This window comes from Homo sapiens, chromosome Y (assembly GCF_000001405.40).
Source record: "Homo sapiens chromosome Y, GRCh38.p14 Primary Assembly".
Lineage (NCBI taxonomy): Eukaryota > Metazoa > Chordata > Mammalia > Primates > Hominidae > Homo > Homo sapiens.
The window spans coordinates 1931040-1942298 of NC_000024.10; the positions used below are offsets into that span (position 1 = coordinate 1931040).

Consider the following 11259-nt stretch of genomic DNA (forward strand, 5'->3'; position numbering starts at 1 on the left):
GGGAGGCGGAGGTTGCAGTGAGCCGAGATCGCACCACTGCACTCCAGCCTGGGCGACAGAGTGAGACTCTGCCTCAAAAAAAAAAAAAAAAACCAGAACTTATATGTTCTATGTAATTGGATCTTTGTGCCCATTAACCAAACTCTTCATCTAAACACTGTCTCCACAAACCATTTCCAGGATCTCTTATCCATCATTCTCCTCTATGTCCATGAGATAACCTTTTTAGTGCCCAAGTATGAGTGAACACACAGAAAACGTGTCTGTCTGTGTCTGGCTTATTTCATGTAACATAATGACCTCCAGGGTCATCCATGTTGCTGCAAATGACAGGACTTCCTTCCTTTTGATGGCTGCACCATTGTATATATATAAAACATTCTCTTTTTCAGACAAAATAGACTTTAATTCAAATGCTGTCACAAGAGACAAAGAAGGTCTTCATGTAACTCAAAATGGTTGATTCCACAGGAATACATAACAATTGTAAATATACATGCTGAAAACATCAGAGTTCCCAAATACACAAAGCAAACTTTTTTTTTTTTTTGAGATGGAGTCTCACTCTACCACCCAGGCTGGAGTGCAATGGCATGATCTCGGCTCACTGCAACATCTGCCTCCCAGGTTCAAGTGATTCTCCTGCCTCAGCCTCCCAAGTAGCTTGGATTGCAGGTGCCTGCCACCCCACTCGGCTAATTTTTGTATTTTTAGTAGAGATGGGGTTTCACCATGTTCCCCAGGATTGTCTCGATATCCTGACCTCATGATCTGCCCGCCTCGGCCTCCCAAAGTGCTGGGATTACAGGTGTGAGCCACGATAGATTGTAAGGGAAACATAAGACTGGTACAATAATAGTAGGTGTCAAAGTCTCCTAACACATTTTATTATTATTATTATTATTATTTTTTAGATAGGGCTTTGCTCCTGTTGCCCAGGCTGGAGTGCAGTGGTGCGATCTCGGCTCACTGCAACCTCCACCTCCCAGGTTCAAGCAATTCTCCTGCCTCAGCCTCCCGAGTAGCTGGGATTACAGGCACCCACCACCATGCCTGGCTAATTTTTGTATTTTTAGTAGAGACGGGGTTTCACCATGTTGGCCAGGCTGGTCTCGAACTCCTGACCTCAGGTGATCGTCTCTCCTCAGCCTCCCAACGTGCTGAGATGACAGGCGTGAGCCGCCGCACCCGGCCACATCTTCTTTCTTTCTTTATTCATTGATGGACAATGAGGCGGATTCCATGTCTCGGCTACTGTGCACCGTACTGCAGTAAATACGGGGTTGCAGAAATCCCTTCGATATACTCATTTCCTTTCCTTTGGATAAATTCCCAGCAGGGGAATGGCTGGATCAGATGGTAGTTCTATTTTTAGCTTTGTGAGGAATCTCTTTACTATTTTCACACAGTGCCTCTACTAACTTACATTCCTACATATGCTCTCAAGTCTTAATTTTAGATGTTGGCCTCTTCAGCACTCCCAGCTATAGAGCATACAATGGGCAGAAGCCCGTCTAGCTTAGTAAAGATGCTCATTTTCTGGAAGGATGTTTATGTGGGGAGATGAGGCAAGCCCTGCCATATTTGGGGTTTCTCCTTATTATTTAGCTGTTGATTGTGACATGCCCCATCTGACAATGTACTGAAAGAAGCTTCACCATTACTGGTTACAATCCCTACTGTAACAAAACCTGAACAAAATATTTGAAACACTTCTGGTGCCAGGCCTTTCTGATAAGGGGTACTCAACCTGTATTAACTCTCTGGTTTGCTGGGAAAACAAAATGAATAATTATGAATCAAGAATTGAACACGGCCCCCATCTCTACTAAAAGAAATACAAAAAATTAGCCGGGTGTGGTGGCGGCTGCCTGTAGTCCCAGCTACTCGGGAGGCTGAGGCAGGAGAATGGCGTGAACCCGGAAGGTGGAGTTTGCAGTGAGCCGAGATCGCGCCACTGCACTCCAGCCTGGGCGACAGAGCGAGACTCCATCTCAAAAAAAAAAAAAAAAAAAAAAAAATTGAACACAGCACTTGGTTGTCAGTATGTTCTTTTAAGTTCTTTTTGTCTTGTTGTGACAGTCCTCAACAATCCTAAAGATTGGTATTCCTTATTTCTACCTACTTGTCAAGAGCAGGAACAAACCACAAGGATACGAAGGGTGGTGTGTGTTGGAGGTGTGCAGGCAACTGGACAACCATGTAAACATGTCTACTGAGGCCAAGCACAGTGGCTCACCCCTGTAATCCCAGCTCTTTGGAAGGCAGAGGTGGGTGGATCACCGGAGGTCAGGAGTCTGAGACCAGCCTGGCCAACATGGTGAAACCCCGTCTCTACTAAAAAAACAAAAAATGCAAAAAAGTAGCTGGGCATGGTGGCCCATGCCTGTAGTCCCAGTTACTCGGGAGGCTGAGGCAGGAGGATTGCTTGAACCCAGGAGGCAAAGGTTGTAGTGAGCCGAGATTGTGCCACTACACTCCAGCCTGGTGACAGAGCAAGACTTGGTCAAAAAAAAAAAAAATTAGCTGGATGTGGTGGCTCACGCACCTGTAATCCCAGCACTTTGGGAGGCTGAGGTGGGCGGATCACAAGGTCAGGAGTTCAAGAGTAACCTGGCCAATATGGTGAAACCCCGTGTCTATTAAAAATACAAAAAAAAAAAAAAAAAAAGCCAGGAGTGGTGGTGGGCGCCTGTAGTCCCAGCTACTCGGGAGGCTGAGGCATGAGAATTGCTTGAACCCAGGAGGCAGAGGTTGCAGTGAGCCAAGATTGGGCCACTACACTCCAGCCTGGTGACAGAGCAAGACTTTGTCTCAAAAAAAAAAAAAAAAAAAAAAAAGAATTAGCCAGGCGTGGTGGTGGGCACCTGTAATCCCAGGTACTCAGGAGGCTGAGGGAGGAGAATCACTTGAACCCAGGAGGTAGAGGTTGCAGTGAGCCGAGATTGTGCCATTGCACTCCAGCCTGGGCGACAGAGCAAGACTCATCTCAAAACAACAGTAACAAGAAATTATGTCTACTGCTTTGTATCTCAACCCATAGAAACTTCATGTTCCCTGACTCAGGGCTCGGAGAATTATCTTGAGCGGTGTGTGTGTCTGCCCATGAGCACAGTTGAGGTTGGGGGGGGTCCCATCGTGCCTGTGTATCCTCAGAAATTTTCCTGAAAGTGTTTGTGACAGGTGAATCACAGCCACTCTCAACAAGGGAAAGATGTGAGATTCCCTTGATTTTTCAAACCAACATAAACTAGTGTCCAGCCAACATCGGTGATCTCTGCGTATTCACGCCAGACCATCATCCATCGGAACACAGACAGCAAGTGCTCCGGGCGTGGAGTGTTGAGTGATGATTTTCTTTTTCCCACCACTCTGTGACTTTCACATCGTATAATTGGAATCTTCGGGTTGTTTTACAACAAGGATTTAGAGAAAAGAAAATCCAGACGCCTGTCTTAATGACTTTCACAAAGCTGGAGATTGCTTTTAACAACAAAAACCGGCCGGTTGTGGTGGTTCACGCCTGTAATCCCAGCACTTTGGGAGGCCGAGGTGGACAGATCACGAGGTTAGGAGTTCGAGACCAGCTGGGTGAACATGGTGAAACCCCATCTCTACTAAAAATACAAATAGTAGCTGGGCATGCTGGCATGTGCCTGTAGTCCCAGCTACTTAGGAGGCTGAGGCAGGAGAATCGCTTGAACCTGGGAGGCAGAGGTTGCAGTGAGCCGAGATCGCACCACTGCACTCCAGCCTGGGTGACAGAGCAATACTCTGATGAAAGAAAGAAAGAGAAAGAGAAAGAAAAGAAAGAGAGAGAAAGGAAAAGAAAGGAAAGGAAAGGAAAAGAAAAGAAAAGGAGGAGGGAGGGAGGGAGGGAAGGAAGGGAGAGAGAGAGAGAAGGAAGGAAGGATGGGAAACTGTCTCAAAAAGAGAGAAGAAACTCTGTCTAAAAAAGAAGAAGAAACTGTCTGAAACAGAAAGAAGAAAGGAAAGAAAGAAGAGGAAGAAGAAGGAAGAAAGGAAGGAAGAAAGAAGGGAGGAGGGAGGAAGGAAAGGAAGGAAGAGAGGGAAGGAAGGGAGGGAGGGAGGGAAACTGTCAGAAAGAAAGAGGAAGAAGAAGGAAGAAAGGAAAGAAAGTGTCTCAAAAAAAAAGACGAAAGCAGGAAACTCTGTCTCAAAAAGAAAGAAGAAAGTGAAAGAAAGAACAAGACAAGATAGAACGAACATAAGCCATTGTGACCGCAGAACCTCATTCACCTTTCATGAGGTGAAGGCAAACACCCATTCCCTTTGTCTCCAGATTTCAGTCCCCAAGGTCATAGCTTGAAGTCCCTGGAAGGAATTATTTCTCTGTGGAGCCCTTTCCTGAGAAACTTGAGTAAAGCCAGGAATGTCCGTTGCAGCTTTTCACATGTCTGCAGTGAACTGTGTGGAAGGGAAGACATTTTCCACATCGATTCTTTTTGGTGAAAATAAAGTTGCTGTCGAAGACGGGTGGAAAATAAGAATATCTTTTAAAGAGAGAAAAGACTTTTGGTGATGCCAGCCTAAACCTATTTCTTCTAATTCCCTTCTGCAAAAAAAAGAGCAGATGGGCCGAAAAACCTAGTGGGGGAACAAAAGTGCACGGGTATTTTATAGATAAATCAGCAAACCAACAGGAATGCATATACGGAAAAGATGTAATTTGTTCCTGCTCTTGACAAGTACGTAGAAATATGGAATAATCTTTACGATTGTTGACGAGTATGATAACAATGACAAGAACATTCTGAGGACTTACTAAGAACGAAGCACTGTGTCCAATTCTTGATTTAAAATCATTCATTTTATTTTCCCAGCAAACCAGAAAGTTAATACGGGTTGAGTATCTCTTATCTGAAATGCCTGGGGCTGGAAGTGTTTTCAAACATTTTATTTTTTCAGATTTTTTTATATTTGGATATATAATGAGGTATCTCTAGAGGGGGCTCTTGTCTAAACACAAAATCCATTTATGTTTCATATGCATGTTATACACATGATCTGAAGGTAATTTTATATATTTTAACGATTTTGTGCATAAAACAAAGTTTTGACTGCATTTTGACTGTGACCTTTCGCATGAGGTCAAGACAAGAGTTCCTTGTTCTTCCTCAACAAACAGAGTCCTCCAACACACACCACCCTTCGTATCATTATAGTTTGTTCCTGCTCTTGACAAGTCGGTAGAAATATGGAATATCAATCTTTAGGATTGTTGAGGACTATCATAACAATGACAAGAACATTCTGAGGACTTACTAAGAACCAAGCCCTATGCCCAATTCTTGATTTAAAATCATTCATTTTATTTTCCCAGAAAACCAGAAAGTTAATACAGGTTGAGTATCTTATATCTGAAATGCCTGGGACTGGACGTATTTCAAACATTTTATTTTTTCAGATTTTGTTATATTCGTATATTTAATGAGCTATCTTGGGATTGAGCTCTTGTCTAAATGCAAAATTCGTTTATGCTTCATAGGCATCTTTTTTTTTTTTTTTTTGAGATGGAGTCTCCCTTTGTCGCCCAGGCTGGAGTGCAGTGGTGTGATCTCAGCTCACTGCAAGCTCCACCTTCTAGGTTCAAGCTATTCTCCTGCCTCAGCCTCCCAGTAGCTGGAATTACAGGCACGTGCCACCACACCCGGCTAATTTTTTGAATTTTTAGTAGAGACGGGGTTTCACCATGTTGGTCAGGCTGGTCTCGAATCCCTGACCTCAAATGATTTCACCCGCCTCGGCATCCCAAAATCCTGGGATTACAAGTGTAAGCCACCACGCGCAGCCTCATATGCATCTTACACAGATGACCTGAAGGTAATTTTAAACATTTTAACAATTTTGTGCATAAAACAAGGTTTTGACTGCATTTTGACTGTGACCTTTCACATAAGGTCAAGAGTTCGTTGTCCTTCATCAACGAACAAAGAGTCCTCCCAACACACACCACCTTAGTATCACTGTAATTTTCCACTTATGGTACCATGCTGCTGCTCACATAGTTTCAGATTTTGGAGCATTTCAGGTTTTGGACTTCCAGATGAGGAATGGCCAACCTGTATTATCATTCCTGCATTTTATAGAAGAGGGAACTAGGGGCCGGGTGCGGTGGCTCATGCCTGTCATCCCAGCACTTTGGGAGTCCAAGGCGGGTGGATCAGAAGGTCAAGAGATCAAGACCATCCTGGCTAACATGGTGAAACCCCATCTCTAATGAAAATACAAAAATTAGCCGGGCATGGTGGTGCGCGCCTGTAGTCCCAGCTACTTGGGAAGCTGAGGCAGGAGAATCACTTGAACCTGGGAGGCGGAGGTTGCAGTGAGCCAAGATCACGCCACTGCAGTCCAGCCTGGTGACAGAGCAAGACTCTGTCAAAAAAAAAAAGGAGGAGGAGGAGGAGGAGGAGAGGAAGGAGAGGAAGGAGGAGAGGAAGAGGAAGAAGAAGAAAAGGGAACTAGAAAGAGAGCGTGAACGGAGACTCGTTCCTTTCATGGCTTTTTGAGATACATGGAAGATTCAAACACAAAGAGTCTCACCTTAGACCCGGGTGCCTCCTACCATCCATAAGCTCAAACAATAGACAAAGACCCTTCTCCCAATTCTCAGCCTACATCTGCTGAGGGCCACGTAGTGTCTGCTAAGGGCTTGCTCTCTCTCTGCTTCAAAGATGGTGCCTTCTTTGTGTTCTCCCATGGCAGAGGGGCAGAAGGAGCAAGCAGAATTTCTCAAGCTCATGTATGAGGGCAGTCATCCTACCTCCTGATGACCCACACCTCCTAACACCATTATCTTGGGGGTTAAGTTCCAACACGTGAATTTGGCAGACGCACCATCATTGAGATTATAGCCACGTCCTTGTATCTGATTCAAAGTCTGGAGTACATGCATTTGAGTAATGTGAGCTACGTCATAGGTCAGTACCTTAGAAGACTGAAGACTGCCATTTTTCTTTCTTGGGAGGAGCCAGGAGGTTCTTCCCCATGCAGGACTCTTCCAGTGGGATTTCTCCAAACTCAGGCCTGCTGTCTAATGCTAGACCACTAGGACCAGAAAAAAGGAGGATTGCTCACACCATCACTAACTGGACAGAGGGGAGGGAGCAACCAGGGATGCCTGTTGGGTTTGAAATTTTTTACGTCTCTACTGCAAAGCAGGGAAAGATGAATTGCACCAGCACCAACAATGAAAGGAGATTCTGGAGGAGAGGATCTCATTTTGTGAGGTGCTCCTGCTGCATCCCGATATTTCCACTACTCTGTGTTTACCTCACTTCTCAAGGCATTCACAAGGCAGAAGCCACTTGTTGTTGCTATGGATACATTGATCAAAAAGACAGAGCAAACCCACAACAGGCAAAGTAAAATTTCCATGGTCTGAAACTCATGATGCTGGCGAGAGGCAGAGAATGCATCGTTTCCACTTCAGATCTGCTTTTCTGATAGTTTCTATGAAAATGATGGTTTTGGTTGCATGGTTTCAGGAATGCTATGGTTTGGATGTTTGTACCCCTCCAAACGTCGTGCTGAAATTTCATCCCCAGTGCTGAAGGTGGGGACTAATGGGAGGTGTTTGGGTCATGGGAGTGGATTCCTCACGCACAGATTAGTGCCCATCCTTGAGAGTAAGTGAGTTATCTCTCTTATGAGTTATTATGAAAGCTGGCTGTTAAAAAGAGCCTGGCACCTCCCCACACACACTCTCTCTCTCTTGCTTCCTGTCTCTACATGTGGTCTCTGCACATGCAGCTCCCCTTCCTCTCTGTGTCCCCACCCAAATCTATGGTTTGGCTCTATGTCCCCACCCAAATCTCATCTTCTAGCTCCCATAATTCCCATGTGTTGTGGGAGGGACCCAGTGGGAGATGATTGAATTATGGGGGCAGGTCTTTCTCATGTGGTTCTCATGATAATGGATGGGTCTCATGAGATCTGCTGCCATCCACGTAAAATGTGATTTGCTCCTCCTTGCCTTCCACCATGATAGTGAGACTTCCCCAGACATGTGGACCTGTACATCCAAAAAACCTCAGTCTCAGGTATGTCTTTATCAGCAGTGTGAAAACAGATTAATACACTCTCTCACTCTGAGTGGAAGCAGCCCGAGGCCCTTACCAGATGCAAATGTCCAATCCTGAACTTTCCAGCCACCAGAATCATGAGCCAAATAAACCTCTTTTCTTTACAAATTATCCAGCCTCAGAGATTCCTTCATAGAAACACAAAACAGACTCAGACAGAGAGTTTGTTTGGAGCAAGTGAATTAGGTCAGAGTGACATGGGGCTCCTAGGAGTTGGGGATTTACCACACACACCTGAGTGGAGGTAATGGTTGGAGATTAGCCTGAAAACCCAGAAGGTCTGTCCTGTTGGGATAAAACCTCCCCTCCTGGAGCTCAGTCTTGATGTAAATGACACATGATGTGTCCCAGACACAAGATGCAAATAAAAATGGCCTGGGGGTTAAAATTAGTCTGTGCTTTGGGGTGAGATCCATGCAGGTTGGAGTCAGTGCTTAGCTGGTATATGACTCCTGCCTGACTTTGCAGATGAGGCTGATCTCCAATCTCTGACTTTCCCTCTGTGAGGATTAAATCCGATACGCATAGTTCAGGAAGCATTAGCTGTTCTAGTGATAAAAGGGAATGAAAATATGAAAATTGCTATCATTTCTATTGCAGCTCAGGTTTCTTCTGCAAAGCCAGAGGTGATATGTCTACATTGGAGGACAGGGGAGCCAGGAATGGTGGGATTCTAACACTAACACAATTGAACACTCTCAGGCAAGCGCATCAAACATGTTTATTGCTGCCTCTGCAGGTAGTTAGTTCTCAAAAAACATGACCTGATGCTCTTCCTTGAACACACTCTTTCTTAGAAACTCCTTGCATATAAGCCGGGCGCGGTGGCTCATGCCTGTAATCCCAGCACTTTGGGAGGCCAAGGTGGGTGGATCACCTGAGGTTAGGAGTTCGAGACCGGCCTGACCAATATGGTAAAACCCCATCTCTACTAAAAATGCAAAAATTGACCAGGCGTGGTGGCAGGTGCCTGCAGTCCCAGCTACTTGGGAGGCTGGGGCAGGAGAATTGCTTGAACCCGGGAGGCGGAGGTTGCAGTGAGCCAAGATGGCACCACTGGACTCCAGCCTGGGTGACAGAGCAAGATTCCATCTAAAACAATAAACAAACAAACAAAATTCTTTGCATATGAGCCTGTAATGGAAGACAAACTCCATGGGCAACCTTCATATCTTCCCCAACAGCAGGCTGAAAGCTGTCACTTTGATGTCAAGGGGATAACTCCTATTATCACATTGTCCAAAAAGGCTCAAACTCAAGTCTCAGTAAGGTTGGCTCTAGGGGAGAAGCTATTCTTTTGCCTTTTGCAGCTTTTAGAGCTGTATTCCTTTCATTTCTTGGCCTGTCGCCCGTTCCTCCACCTTCAAAGCCAGCAACATCGTACCTCGTTTTAGTTCTGACATCGCGTACTCTCTTGCTAGTCCAGTCTCCCTCTGCCTCCTTCTTAGAAAGATGCTTCTGATGACATTGAGGATCCACCTCAATAATCCGATATCATCCTCCCATCTCAAGATCATTAACTGAAATGCATCTTTAAAGTCTGTTACCATATAATGTAACCTATTCGTGTTTTTATTGTTGTTGTTTGTTTGTTTATTTTTGTTTTTGAGATGAAGTCTTGCTCTGTTGCCCAGGCTGGAGTGCAGTGGCGTGATCTCAGCTCACTGCAACCTCCACTTCCCAGGTTCAAGTGAGTCTCCTGCCTCGGCGTCCTGAGTAGTCAGGATTACAGGCCCGTGCCACCACATCCAGCTAATTTTTATTTTATTATTATTTTTTTGAGACGGAGTCTCACTCTGTCACCCAGGCTGGAGTACAGTGGCAAGACCTCGGCTCACTGCAAGCTCCGCCTCCCAGGTTCACGCCATTCTCCTGCCTCAGCCTCCCGAGTAGCCGGGACTACAGGCACCCACCACTGCACCCAGCTAATTTTTTTTTTTTTTGTATTTTTAGTAAAGACGGGGTTTCACTGTGTTAGCCAGGATGGTCTCGATCTCCTGACCTTGTGATCCGCCCGCCTCAGCCTCCCAAAGTGCTGGGATGACAGGCGTGAGCCACCATGCCCGGCCAATTTTTGTATTTTTAGTAGAGACGGGGTGTCGCCATGTGGGCCAGGCTGGTCTTGAACTCCTGACCTCAGGTGATCCACCCACCTCGGCCTCATTACAGGCTATTCATGGGTTTTAAGGATAAGGACCTGTGTATGACTGGGGGCTGTTATTCAGCATCCCGCAGCATTGTTTTGTGGATGCACTCTGGCTACAATTCCAAGAAGGCAGCATGAGAAATTTCACAGCCACCCTCCAGCAGGGAGTTGACAGGCACAGTCCAGCCCGGGGCATCCTACTGGCAGGGGAGCTGTTGTTGTGTTGACTTCTGTCAGATCAACATAAGTGACACAGCTTCCTCCGCACACACCGAGGGGGACATGCTTAAGAATGTCATTAGGAGGCCCGGGAGATCACAGCACTAGCTTAGCTAAATGGGGTTTCGGCAATGAGAGTCTGGTGCCAACAATATGGATATTATTTAAGATTTTTAATAAAGCAGGGGAAACAAAGAGAACTGAGAAGGAGGAATAAAGTGCTGAAAAACATTTATCTGCTCTTAAGCAATTTCATTTAAAGGAGAAAGAAACGGAGGCTCAAACCAAAGATGAATATTGACAATGATGTTTTTTGTTTTGAGACGTAGTCTCGCACTGTTGCCCAGGCTGGAGTGCAATGGCGCGATCTCGGCTCACTGCAACATCCGCCTCCTGGGTTCGAACGATTCTCCTGCCTCAGCCTCCTGAGTAGCTGGGACTAGAGACGCCTGCCATCACACTCAGCTAATTTTTGTATTTTTAGTAGACACGGGGTTTCACCATGTTGGCCAGGCTGGTCTCGAACTCCTGACCTTGTGATCTGCCCACCTCGGCCTCCCAAAGTGCTGGGATTACAGGCGTGAGCCACCAGGCCCGGCCCTAACAATGATGTTTAAATAGGCAGAAAAGTAAGGCTGGTTTTGGCAAAGCAGAAAGCATTAAAAGGCCCTGGGCTCGGTGTGTAGAGCTTTGACTACAAAGGGAAAAAGTCACAGGGAAACTGGTTTATTTACATTATGAATACAAAATGCTAAACTGGTGGACTGATTAAACTTATCAGCAAAAGAC

At 45.6% G+C, this 11259-nt stretch overlaps 1 annotated feature.

Annotated features, from left to right (window-relative positions):
- Positions 10191-10718: an enhancer, noted in NCBI's record as "NANOG-H3K4me1 hESC enhancer chrY:2010123-2010650 (GRCh37/hg19 assembly coordinates)". NCBI's record gives its function as "activates a minimal SCP1, AML or CMV promoter by ChIP-STARR-seq in naive H9 embryonic stem cells {active_cell/tissue: H9 hESC(naive)}" and the evidence as "EXISTENCE:reporter gene assay evidence [ECO:0000049][PMID:30033119]".